The sequence below is a fragment of the Homo sapiens genome, chromosome 12 (assembly GCF_000001405.40).
Source record: "Homo sapiens chromosome 12, GRCh38.p14 Primary Assembly".
Lineage (NCBI taxonomy): Eukaryota > Metazoa > Chordata > Mammalia > Primates > Hominidae > Homo > Homo sapiens.
The window spans coordinates 104,434,118-104,448,092 of NC_000012.12; the positions used below are offsets into that span (position 1 = coordinate 104,434,118).

The 13,975-nt window shown below is 44.8% G+C and overlaps 1 annotated feature.

Moving 5' to 3' along the window:
- Positions 2,044 to 2,213: an enhancer, noted in NCBI's record as "experimental_23909 CRE fragment used in MPRA reporter constructs". NCBI's record gives its function as "activates a minimal promoter by MPRAs in K562 erythroleukemia cells, with activity observed for both the introgressed and non-introgressed 12:104830024 variant alleles {active_cell/tissue: K562}" and the evidence as "EXISTENCE:reporter gene assay evidence [ECO:0000049][PMID:34662402]".

The following is a 13,975-nucleotide window of genomic DNA, read 5'->3' on the forward strand; positions in this document are numbered from 1 at the left end:
GATCAGGTCACTGCACTCCAGCCTGGGCAACAGAGCAAGACTCTATCTAAAAAAAAAAAAAAAAAAAGATTTGCCTGCTTATAAACTTCACATGCTTGAACCATAGCCTGTGTAATTTTTTGTGGCTGCTTCTTTCCTCCACATGGTGCTTGTGAGATTCATTCTTGTGGTTGCCTGTGACAGTTTTTCCTTCATTTTCTTTCCTGTATAGTATTCCATTGTGTGACTATACCACCCTTTTTTTTTTTTTGGAGACAGGGTCTCACTGTGTTGCCCAGGGTCACTGCAGCCTTCGCCTCCCAGGTTCTATCAATCCTCCCACATCAGCCTCCTGAGTGGCTGGGACTACAGGCATGCACCACCACACCTGGCTAATTTTTTTTTTCTTTCTTTCTTTCTTTTTTTTTTTTTTTTAGAGATGTGATTTCTCCATGTAACCCAGGCTGGTCTCAAACTCCTGTGCTCAAGTAATCTACCTGCCTCGGCCTCACAAAGTGCTGGGATTACAGGCTTGAGCCACTGTGCCTGGACTGCACCACATTTTATTTATCCATTCTGGAGTTGACAGAGGATTTTTTTTTTTCCTCCTGGTTTGGGTAGCTCCACTTTTTACCATTTTACTATTATTTTATGTCTGTGTGCAGCTCACAGTCAAAAGTGCTGGATTCATGTCCTGGATACTCTACTTACCAGCTCTGTGAACCTTGGGAAAACTAGCCTTTCTGAGTCTCATTTGTCTCTGCAAACAATAATGCCTAATTTCCCTTGGTTTCCTATTCAATCAGCAAGCGTTTATTGGTCACCTGCTATGTGCCATCATTCTAGGAGATTTAGCAGTGACCGACACAAAGATCCCTGCTCCACACGTTTGTACCTTTGTCCCTTCAGTTCCCTTTCTTTGGGAAGCTCTTTCTTCCCAGATCCATCCTTCTTCTTCCTTACTCCCACCCACATTTTTGCTTCTTTATTTTCTGCTCATCCTTCTAGACTGAAGTCTGACATCCTTTCCTTTCCTCTAGGAAGCCTTACATGGCCCCTGGCAGAGCACTGGCCACTGTTTACTGAAATGTTGGGGGCTTGGTCTGCACACCTGTCTCCCCCGTGATCTGTGAGCTTCCTCAGGGCAAGGGCTGATTTCCTGCACCTTTGGCATCTGCAGTGCCTATCCCAGGGTTAAGCTCAGGGTAAAGTCTTAGTACAAGTTAAGAACTTTTGTTTTAGCCAAATAAGCCAGTGTGATGGCCACTCAGGTCATACCTGCTGAGTTAGCACATCAAGACGGTAGTCCTGCCCCTGAAACCAGAACTTATTCCAGGTGGTTTTCAGGGGGTTCAGCCACATTACGGGGGTGATTAGGTATAAGGAGCCCTGGAGTTCTTCGGGCCAAAAAACTTGCTCTCTCCAAGCCTCTATTTTGTCAGTTAAATGGCTACCTTTTCAAGGTTATCTGGGAGACTTAGAGAAAGTATACTCGAAGTGCCTGGCGTCTAAGAATAACGATTTCATTGACTGAAAGCTTATTATATATTCAGCTTAAAAGGCACTTTACATATTTTAACTAATTTAATCAACACAACAGCCTGTGATGAAGGAGCTGTCACTATTTGTGTCAACTTACAAATGTGGAAACTGAGGCACTGAGTGTTTAAGGGACTTGCCTAATGCTACACTGACACAGCCAGTAAGTGGTAGAACTAGGAAGGAGACTGGTCTTGACTGCTACAGCCCACCTTGCCCAGGAGCTGCAGCCGCCACCCAGAGACCCAGCTCAGAAACTTCCAGACAGCATGGTAGCACAAAAGGCTGCAAAAACCTTCCTGATCTTTCTCTTCCCCTTTCCTTTAGGGCCAGTTCAGGCAGTGAAGTCGGAGCTTCCTTTGAAGTCTTCTCCCTCCTCTCCTGATGAGGCCTCAGGGAAAATGAGTCCTTTCCTTATCTCAGCAGCAAAGAAATTGTCCAAAGACAGCAGTAGCATCTCCGTGGGAAGCTCAGGAATACTAATGATAAAACAAATTGATAAATTCAATTTCAAATGTGTTGATGAGAAAAACTAATTGATAAGCTCATTCATTTATTTAACAAGTATTTATGGAGTACCAACTCTATGCCAGTGTGGAGAATTAACTCTAAACAAAACAGCTGAGGTCCCTGGCCTGATGAAGCTTATGTTCTTGAGTTGGGATGTTACCAGAGGCGAATCTGTAGGGGTCTGCAGCAACCTCAGTTCTTGCCTCTTTAGAAGAAAGAATTTGACCAAGGGGCAGACAGTAAAAGGAGAGACTGAGGCAAGTTTTAGAGCAGGAGTGAAAGTTTATTGAAAAGCTTTGCTGGCCGGGCGCGGTTGCTCACACCTGCAATCCCAGCACTTTGGAAGGCTGAGGCAGGCGGATCACCTGAGGTCAGGAGTTCAAGACCAGCCTGGCCAAAATGGTGAAACCCTGTCTCTACCAAAAATACAAAAATTAGCTGGGCGTGGTGGCATGCACCTGTAATCCCAGCCACTTGGGAGGCTGAGAGGCAGGAGAATCGCTTGAACCCGGGAGGCAGAGGTTGCAGTGAGCCGAGATCATGCCCGTGCACTCCAGCCTGGGCGACAGAGTGAGACTCTGTCTCAAAAAAAAAAAAAAAAAAAAAAAAAAAAAAAAAAAAAAAAAGCTTCACTGCAGAAACAAAAGGAAGGAAAGTATACTTGGAAGAGGATTAAGTGGGTGACTTAAAAGACAAGTTTGACCTTTCGACTTGGGGTTTTATATGTGGGCATGCTTCTGGGGTCTTACGTCTCTTCTTTCCTGATTCTCCCCTTGGGATGGGCTGTCCTGTCCGCATGAGCAGTGGCTGCCAGTGCTTGGGAGTGGAGCATGCGCAGTGTGTTTACTGGAGTTGTACCCATGCTCACTCGAGACGTTCTTCCCTTACCAGCCCAATGTCCCTTAGGAGGTCATATTCCAGTTAAACTCCACCACTTTACCTCTTAGGGCACATGTGTGAGCCCACTCACCCAACTGCTAAGATCTTACCAGGAAGCTACTGATCACCAGTTTCAGGTTTTTCCCTTTGATAGGACGACTGCGTTTCCCTGGCACTGGCTGGACCAATTATTATTTTAGAGAGACAGTTAAGAACCACCTGACCATCACCTGATGGTCCCCTGACATTCCTGGTGGTGGGTGGGGGGCCTTTCCTGCCCTGTTCATGTCTGACTAGCTACCTACTGTAACAGTATAAATATCTTTTTGACACTTTCATTTACAGGAAAGAAAATGCAAGAATGCTTGGAAAAAAAAAGACCCAAATACCAAAATTTGGACAAACTAAACAAGTAAAAGAAGAAGTGGCAGAAAGAAAACTTAGACTTCTTGAAATAATTAATGAAAGGATGTTTTGAAATAGCAAGTTTGTCCAGTATAGGTATAATGAAATTTGATTTACCAAAATTCCATTTTTTTCCAAGAATTTGTGGTATAACATGAAGCTTACCTTTCACAGCCAAGGCAAGGTCATCCCCCCCTTGGAGGACATGGTGCTGCTGATGACTCTTGAGACATCTCAACCTACAGTGGCTTCAAAACTTATGCCTTCAGCTCTGCCTCCTCCCCACTCCCAAGCTTCAAACTCAAATATTCAGCTGCCTGCCTGTCTATAGATCCTCTTGGATGTATAATAGCATCTCAGCTCCAGCATAACCAAAAGATAACTCTTGATTTTCACCCAAATCTTGTTTTTGGTTTTTTTCCCCTTAGTCTTTACCACTTCCTTAAATGGCAACACCTATTCAATTGCTCAAGCCAAAAACTTAGGTGGCACCCATATTCTTTATTGTGGCTATCAATAGCAAAGGCAGCTATTGTTTAATTGAGGGTAACAGAGACCCAAAATAACTGTGACTTAAAAAAATAGAAATCTACTTTGCTTATTTCTTCCTCTGGTAGAGAGGGAGGTAGGTAGTCCAGACTTCCTAGTGTATCTAAACTCCATGAACTCCTCGGGGATGCAGGCACCTTTCAGGTCATTGTTCCACCATCCCTGGATGTGATCTACCTCTTCATGACACAATACGACAGCAAAAGCACCAGTCATTGCATCATGGGTCCAAGTGGCAGGACCCCTGTAGGAAGGAGGCATGGAAAAGAAGGGGCAGAGAGCATATACTAGCTATCTTTTAAGCAAGGTAATTTTGCTAAGACTTCACTGGCAGAACTTAGTCACATGACTACATCACCTAACTATAAGAGAGGCTGGGAGATGTAGTTTTTATTGTAGGAAGTCATGTGCTTAGCTAAAACTTGGAAGTTTTATTGCTATGAAAGAATAGACCAGATATTGGGGTTAGTAGGAATGGCCAAAAGTTCCTGCCGTATCTGGGTTGTAAACTCTAGGCTACTGGGCCCCTGCCTGCTATTTGACCCCACCTCCTCGACCATGTTCAACACAATGTAGCCATTCTGGCCTCTTCTAATGTCCTTTGAATACACCAGGCTTATCCCTGCCTTAGAGCCTTTGTGCTGCCACTCTCTGCCCCTGAGATGCACCCTCCAGATTTGCACATGGCTGACTTCTCATTATTCCAGTTTTGGCCCAAATGTCAGATCCTTACTGGGCCTTCCCTTGACCACCCTTTCTAAGGCAGTGTTTCTGCACCAGCCAGCTTCGATCACATAACCCCATTTCATTTTCCTCAAAGTACTCCAGAGTAACTCTCTGAAAACATCTTCCACTTTGTGTGTGTGTATGTGTCTCCCTGTTCCAGTGAGTAGCTAGTCAGACATGAGCAGGGCAGGAGAGGCCCCGCTCCAACCCAAGCAGGAATGTCAGGTGGCCATCAGGTGATGGTCAGGTGGTTAACTGTCTCTCTAAAATAATAATTGGTTGCAGCCAGCCCCAGAAAAAGGCAGTCTCCCTATAGAAAAGAAAAACCTGAAACTGATTATCAGTAGCTACCCGATAAGATCTCAGGAGTTGGGAGACTGGGCTCACACATGAGCACTAAGGGGGAAAATGGCGGAGTTTAACTGGCACATGACCTCCTAGGGACATTGGACTGGTAAAGGAGTAACACTGTAAGTGAGCATGGGTACAACTCTAGTAAACACACTGCGCACGCTCCCCTCTCAAGCGCCAGCAGCCCACCCCGAGGGAAGAATCGGGAGAAGGAACGCAAGACCCTGGAAGTATGCCAACATATAAAACCCCAAGTCAAAGGTCAAACCGTGCACTTGCCTTTCACGTTGCCCGCTTGGCCCTCTTCCAAATGTATTTTCCTGCCTTTTGTTTCTGCGGTAAAGCTTTTTAATCAACTTTCATTCCTGCTCTACAGCTTGCCCCAGTCTCTCCTTCTGCCTTCTGCCCCTTAGTCGAATTCTTTCTTCTGAGGAGGCAAAAATTGAGGTTGCTGCAGACCCCTACAAATTTGCTGCCGATAACATATTTTGGTACCATGTGAGTTGGATAATTTTCACCACTAACAATACGATCTAAGAAACATGAAACTGCAGCATCAAAAAAGAGCTTTCTGATCCTGACACCTGCCTGGAGTGAACTCCATCTGAAAAATCCTGGTCTATTAGCCCTGGCAGGTGCTTCTCAGATCTACTAGGCCAGTGTTTCACAGGCATCAATTTATGGAATGGCCCCTGGATTTCAGGGAATATTTTCTCACTGGTTAAACTTTTAGTGCTGAAGTTATTTACATTTGACCCACCTAGACACAAATGGACAAACACCTTATTCTCCATGGTCAAGCCAAAACTGGGAATTTTTTTTACGGATCTATATATAAATATAATTTCTTTATGAGGATTTGTGGATTGTATTAAGGATAATGAATAAAAAAGAAAGCTTAATAAAAAGTTCCTAAGTCTACTGAGGAATGTAATGTGTGCTTAGGATGTTATTTGTCTGTGCTGAGACATACACTCACACATAACTATGCAATTTTCATGTGCAATGGTCAACAATTTAGGTATTTTATAATTCCCACTCTCATCTGACAGATAAGAAAACAGGCCACCAAACGTGTGTGTGTGTGTGTATGAGATGTGTATATATGAGATGTATATATATGAGATTATATATATGAGACGTATATATGTATATATAAGATGCATGTGTATACATATATGTTAAATGTATATGTTAAAATATCTAAAAAACACACACTGGCCCTATCTCTTCCATATATATGCAGTCATCCACACCAACCCTAGGCTGTGAGGCTTCTCTCTCCAGAGAGAGAAAGGCTCCATCTAGAGCAAAAAGGTCATTCATCAGATTTGGGTATTGAAGTAGCATGAAAAGCCAGAATTTACCAAGAGAGAAAAGGATTTCTCTATTTCATATATATATATATATATATATATATATATATATATATATATATATATATGTATATATAAATGGAAGAGATAGGGTCAGTGTTCAGAGGAGATGGATCTGAGCATGGACTTGGTGCTGGAGAGTCCCAGGAACTGGCCTGATGAGGGGGAGACCAATTCTTTCGTGAACAGATTGCCCTGGACTTGGTGCTGGAGAGTCCCAGGAACTGGCCTGATGAGGGGGAGACCAATTCTTTCGTGAACAGATTGCCCTGTCACCTGCTGAGTGGGGAGGGTAGAGGTGGACACATGGGAATAGTGAGAAAGTGACATTTTACAATAACAATGACACAGGGCTTGAGTGTTTGTTCACATTACACCTAGAAGTATCCAAAAATGTAGTGAATGGTAAGAAGGAGAGAAATCAACATTTAGTCCAATAAGTAATATACACAACCTCTGGAAGGGACGTGCCTGTCAGCTGCACACTCAGTGGTTCAGATTCCATGCCACTCCTGCTTCTCTGCAAGAGTCAGCTGGGTGTATAGAAGAGAACTCAAGGGACATCTTGGAGGCAGGGGAAGAAAGGCCTGAGTCGGGGATCCCCACAACCACCCTCAGCTCCAAAGACTTGCTAGGAGGACTCATGGGACTCAGCATATAGTCACAGTCATGGCTATGATTTATTATAGTGAACAGGTGCAAAATAAAATGAGTGAAAGAAGGAGACACATGGGGCAAAGCTGGAGGAGACAAGATGCAAAATTCCAAGAAGTCACACAGGGTATACTTAGTTTATTTAGAAAGAATTGTGACAACCTATGTGGAATGCTGTCTACCAGGGAAGTGCCACTAAGCCTAGGAGTCAGTCCAAGGATTTTACTGAGGGTCAGTCACATAAGCATCTGTGGCCTAGGATGTACCAAAAGTCCGGGCTTCCAGAAGGAAGGCAGGTGTTCAGCATAAACCACATTTTTGTACAAAGAGTTCAGGCGCAGCGAACTGCTCCTGTCCTTTCTGGGAGTGCTGGGAACCCACCCCAAATCCAATGTAGATGCCAGCCAAGGGCCAACCTTGCAAGCAGTCTCAAACTGACTATGTTAACTCTTTTCTGCCAGAGGCCTCAGAGCCACATGTATCTCCCTCATCCCTGGACTGGAGGCCATTGAGTCACAGTAGGTTCTAGGTCCTGCTGGAGACCATTTGCTCTCTGAAGCCCTGTACATCCTGGGCAGGCCATGGAAAGCCAGGAGGGTTGTGGCAGGCCATCTAGCCAGACAGGCACTTCCCTCCACCAATGCTGCCACCCTGGGCTGGATGTGACCACATGGGGACTTCTTTGCCATGCTCTCCCCTCCACTGGTACACATGGGGAAGTCTAGCATGACCTCCTCACTGTCTAGTAACCTAAGTGCCCCTTGGGTCCTATTATCCATCTGTGTTTGTCCCAAAGTGGCGGATGGGAAGAGGGAACAAGAACGCTGGCATTTGAACTGCTCACTCTGCCTCTTTGTCTTTTCTCCTGCCCATAGAACACTGAGGTGGGAATACATGGCTTCCCATGTCTCTAAAACCACATCATATCTGCAGTAAAACTGGCACCTGGGCAGCCAGTTTTAGCTGTTGTTAATGTGTTAACACATTATATGACCTAATGGCCACATAACAGGACCTTGGAGAGTATAGAAAATCCTTTTATCTCTTGGCAAATTCTGGCTTTTTATGCTACTTTTTTTTTTTTTTTTGGAGACAGAGTCTTGCTCTGTCACCCACGTTGGAGTGCAGTGGCATGATCTGAGCTCACCACAACCTCTGCCTCCAGGGTTCAGGCGATTCTCCTGCCTCAGCCTCCCGAGTAGCTGGGATCATAGGCGTGCACCACCACGCCCAGCTAAATTTTTTTTATTTTTTTTGTATTTTTAGTAGACACAGGGTTTCACTATGTTGGCCAAGCTGGGCTCAAACTCCTGACCTCAGTTGATCCACCTGCCTCGGCCTCCCAAAGTGCTGGGATTACAGGTATGAGCCACTGTGCACAGCCTCATGCTACTTTAATATCCAAATCTGATGAATGACCTTTTTGCTCTAGATGGAGCCTTCCTTACTCTGGAGAAAGAAGCCTCATAGATTAGGGTTGGTGTGAATGACTGCAAAGGTGAGTGAAATTTCATATCCCCCAGTTTCATTCCATGATTTTCATTCTAGAAATGATAGTTTGCATTTGTAAACGTGTTTTCATGACCTTTTGGTCATGATAACTCAGAGATTGAGGTAGACATGTCCATTATACAGACAAAACTACTGAGTCAAAGAGGGCTAGTTAATGGTGGAGTTTAGACTTGAATTTATATCTTCACACTTGACTCTACTAAACTTCTTGCTACATATTATTTGTTGCTAGCATTAGATCTTTATTGTCTCTTATAATCTATGGGCAGGTGCAGATTCTGTAAGGAATATCTGTTCTTTCCCATCCACAAAAATGGCCTCCCAAATATATTCCTGTCCTAATCCATGGAACCTGTGATTATGTTACCTTGAATGGCAGAAGAGACTTTGCAGATGTGACCCAATTAAGGATTTTGAAATGGAAAGATTATCCTGGATTATCTGGGTAGACCTGATGTAATTACAAGCATTCTTGTAAGAGGGAAGCAGGAGGTGGGGTGGAGGGGAGAGAGAGAGAGAGAGAGAGAGAGAGAGGAAGAGAGGAAGAGAGGAAGTGAGGAGGAGAGGAGGAGAAGAGAAGAGGACAAGAGAAGAAGAGAAGAGAGGAAGAGAGAGAGGGGAAGAGAGAGGGGAAGAGAGAGGGGAAGAGAGAGAGGAAGAGAGAGGCTATACAGTGGCTTTGAAGATGGAGGATGGGGCCATGAGGCAAGCGATGCAAGTGACAGACCTCCAGAAGCTATAAAAAGACTAGGAAACAGACCTTTTCCCCACAGCCTCTGGAGGAGAGGCAGCCTTGCTGACACCTTGATTTTGGCCCACTGAGACTGGTTTTGTACTTTGGAACTCCAGAACTGTAAAATGACACATTTGTGTTGTTTGAAGTCACTAAGTTTGTGGTAATTTGTTACAGCAGCAATAGCAAACTAACACATGCAGTGTCCTCTCTTATTAACTACAATAGAATTCATCTCGGCCTCTCCAGGTAGTTGCCTCTTGGAGAAACTACCTGGCCCCATTCTTGGTCTGGTGATGTGAGTGGGGCTGACCCCACTACTGGCTCCAGGGCAGAACATAGCCTCCAGGCCTGGGCAACAAGCATGCTACATTCTCTGGTCACGGTGGCTGGTCAGGGTCGTGAGCAAGACCCTTCAGAAGGCAGCTCTAGACTCTTGCTGGAGCTGTTAGGAAGGGGGTATGTCCTTTCTACAGTGGATACTGAGCTGGAGAGAAGTCTGGAACAGGCGGGCAGCCACTTGAGAATGAAGACAACACAAAAGAAAGCTGAGCCAAGGACTGGAAAGAGAGGCATTCTCCTTAAGACACAGCTAGAAACCTGAATCAGGTCATGTCTAAAGACAGCTTAAAGATCCCAATGACAGGAGCCAACCAAGTCTCTTTTTGTTTAAGCTAGTTGGAGTTGAAGTTCTGAACCCAGATGTTTCTGACTAATAGTGTTATGTGGTTAGGAGTCACCTAAATTGGATTATCTGATTATTGATTTTGTGGAAGTTCAACACTATGGAGCACCATCCAGTACCACCCAAGAGAAGGCATGTTAGTACCCAAATGCCATTGATCTTACAATTAAAACCGGGGAGAAAATTTGAGTCCCTTTCCCCCAGAGGATGTTCCTGCTGAGAGTTACTACTTCAGTTCTTTTCACTTAACAAATCCTAACCCTTGTACATCAGTATACTGCTTCCTCACGCTTCATCTCATGCAGCTATGGAGACCCAGGGAAAGGGAGTGACTGGCTGCAGGACACATGTCGGCTGGTGGCCAGGCTGGGATAAGAACTCTGACCCTAAGCGCTGTGTGCTCTCTGAAGCATGCTGCTTCGAGCTTTCTTGGGAGCGTAGTCACTCCTGTTTCTATGGCTCTGAAAATTCACACCCTGCTGTGTGCAATTAGTTCTTGTTGCTCTCCCCTTGCTGATCAGCATTCTCAATTTCATTTTCAGAGCCTAGCTTTATCATTATCATGAAGAGATTATCTAACATATTGAATATTAAAAATCTGACACCACAGAGTAAGATTTGCATTCCAAGGTTATTGCTATTTACCAGAACTCATCACTTGACCTGCTGTTTTTTGAGAAACATCACTCCGAAGGGCAAGAGACAGCTCCCCAGAGCCTCCTTATGGAGATCACATTTTAAAGACTCTTCATTTGAGTTCCTAATATTGATGGCATTGATCTGTCACTTCTCCATGAACCAAGCTCAACTGACAATTCTAGAATCAACCAGAATAGGAAGGGATGTTAAAAGTTACTTGGTTCGATCCTTGCATTTTCCAGGTGGAAAAGTGAGACTTGGAAAGTCAAGTATGTATCAGTCAGAGTTCTTGCTTAGAGGCAAGTACTCTGCTAACTTAAGAACATGAATGTTTTAAAGGTAGCTTACAGAAATTCCAGGAGGGTCAGAGAAGCAGGTATGTGCCTATGCAACTGGAAACAAGAACTGCAGGGGCTGCCCCAGTAAATATATCACTATCACTGTCTACAGTCAGTTGAATGGTGGCCACCAAAAAGATATGTCTACATCCTGACCTGTACATGTGACCTTACTTGGGAAAAGCATCTTTGCAGATGTAATTAATGTAAAGAGATGGTTCTGGATTATCTTAGTGGGCCCTAAATCAAATAACAAATAATAAGCCTTTATAAGATACAGAAAAGGAGACAGCACAGACACATAGAAGGCCATGTGAAGACCGAGGCAGAGACTGGAGTGATATGGGGACAAGCCAGGGAACACTGGTTGCCGCCAGAAGCTGGAAGAGGCAAAGAAAGACTCTCCCCTAGAAAGTTCAGAGGGAGTACACAGCCCTGCCAACATCTCAATTTCAGACTTCTGGCCACCAGAGCCATGAGAGATTACATTTCGATTGTTGGCGTTTTATAGCAGCAGCCTGAACAGATTGATTCAGTGACTTTGGGTAAATCACTTTGTCCAGGCTTGCCAACATGGTGAAACCCGGTCTCTACAAAAGATACAAAAATTAGCCAGGTGGGGTGGCACACACCTGTAATCCCAGCTACTCAGCCGGCTGAGGCAGGAGAATCACTTAAACCCTGGAGGCAGAGGTTGCAGTGAGCCGAGATCGGGCCATTGCACTCCAGCCTCGGCGACAGATCAAATGCCATAGACTGGGTGGCTCCAACAACAGACATTTATTCTCATCATGCTCTGGAAACTAGAAGTCCAAGGTCAAGGTGCCAGCAGGGTTGGTTTCTGGTGAGGTCTGTAGACGGCTGCCTTCTTACTGTATCCTCGCATGGCCGTTCCTCTGGGCAGGCACAAAGAGTGAGCTATCTAGTGTCCCTTTCTCTTCTTGCAAGGATGCCAATCCAATTGGATTAGGGCCCCAGCCTCATGACCTCACCTAACCTCAATTACCTCCTTAAAGGCCTTCTCTCCAAATACAGACACATTGCAGGTTAGGGCTTCAGCATATGATTTTCAGTCCGTAACACTCCCACAGCTAGTTAGAGGCACGTTGAGATTTGAGCCTAGGCCTCCTGACTGCGAACCCACCTCTGAGTTCAACCCCCATAAGATTTGGGCAGGCTGGGTCACAAATGCATTTAGAAAAACAAAGGTATTTAGAAAATAGAATGACACTTACGATGACTGGTCTTTGGGATCCATTTTAGCTTACTGCCTAGTAGCAAGGGGCCACAAAAGGGAAAATATCAATCTCCTTAGACATTGGTGGCCCAGCTATAGGTTCTGCCTCTCTGCCCATACCTTGTGATCTGTATCTTCAGGGCTCTTAGCTGCAAGCAACGGAGAGCATGATTTAGGCAAAAAAGGAATTTATTGAAAGTGTTGTGGGTAACACAGAGAAACGCTAAAAAGGCTGGGAAATGGCTTGAAAATCAGCAGGAAGGAAGGGAGGTCAGCAATAGCCAAGATCACAGCACACGGTTGGTCCACTGAGGCCACCACGGCCACAGCCATTGGATTTGCTGTGGCCATCCCAAAAGTGGGTTCTCTACCAGCTCTGCTTCTTTGCACCACCAGCTCCTGTCCCAGCCCATGCTGTAGGTGCCTCTGAGTGCTCTGACTTAGGTTTGTGTAGTCTTCACAACATCCTGAAAATATGTATCATGATTCCCATTTTACAGATGAGGAACCTGAGGCTTAAATATGCCAGGTGACTGGCCACAGGCAAATTCAGGCCTGTCTGACTCCAAAGCCCACTCTCCCCGTAATCACAGTGTGGTAACTCCATCCCATGGCTGGGATAAAAGAATTCCAAAGTATACTTCAAAGAGGTTGTTCCAGTTGCTTCTACCAGCAACACCTGGGTGGCTCCTTTGCATTCCACCCTTTCCAGCCTCAAGGGAATTGTATTGTCTAACACACATCTTTGCTAATTTGATAAACTAAAATGGTGTCTTATTGTTTTGGTTTGCCTCTTTTTAATTATTGAGGTTGGATGCTGTATTAGTCTGTTTTCATACTGCTGATAAAGACATACCCAAGACTGGGAAGAAAAAGAGGCTTTATTGGACTTACAATTGCACATGGCTGGGGAGGCCTCAGAATCATGACAGGAGGTGCAAGGCACTCCTTACATGGCAGCAGCAAGAGAAAAATGAGGAAGAAGCAAAAGCGGAAACCCCTGATGAGATGTCATCAGATCTCGTGGGACTTATTCACTACCGCAAAAATAATATGGGGGAAACCGCCTCCATGATTCAAATTATCTCCCACAACATGTGGGAATTATGGGAGTACAATTCAGGATGAGATTTGGGTGGGGACACAGAACCAAGCCAGATTAGATGCTTCCTTATATTTTACTATCTGGTATATTTCGTGTGTGTGTGTGTGTGTGTGTGTGTGTGTGTGTGTGTGTGAAAAATCTTGTCAATTGTTTTTGTTCATGTGTCTATTGGGATCTTTGTGGGGTTAACTAGTTGTCTGTATGAGATCTTTATATATCACAAAGAAGTTTTTCTTCCTTTTATTTTAGATTCATGGAGTACCTGTGCAGGTTTGTTACATGAGTATATTACGTGATGCTGAGGTTTGGGCCTCTAATGATCCTGTCGCCCAAGTAGTGAATATAGTAGCCAATAGGTAGTTTTTCGACCCTTCTGTCCCCCATCCCCTTCCCCACCTTGTGGAACCCCCAGTGTCTACTGTTCCCATCTTTGTGTCCTTGTGTACCCAATGTTTAGCTCCCACTTCTAATGGGAGATGTGTGAGCATATCACAAAGACGTTTAACCTTTTATCTTTCATTTTTCTTTTTCTTTTTCTTTTTTTTTTTTGAGATGGAGTCTCACTTCGTTGTCCAGCCTGGAGTGCAGCGGTGCGATCTCGGCTCACCGCAACCTCCGCCTCCCAGGTTCAAGCGATTCTCCTGCCTCAGCCTCCCAAGTAGCTGGAATTACAGGTGCCCACCACCATGCCCAGCTAATTTTGTAGTTTTCACCATGTTGGTCATGCTGGTCTCGAATTCTTGACCTCAGGTGATCCA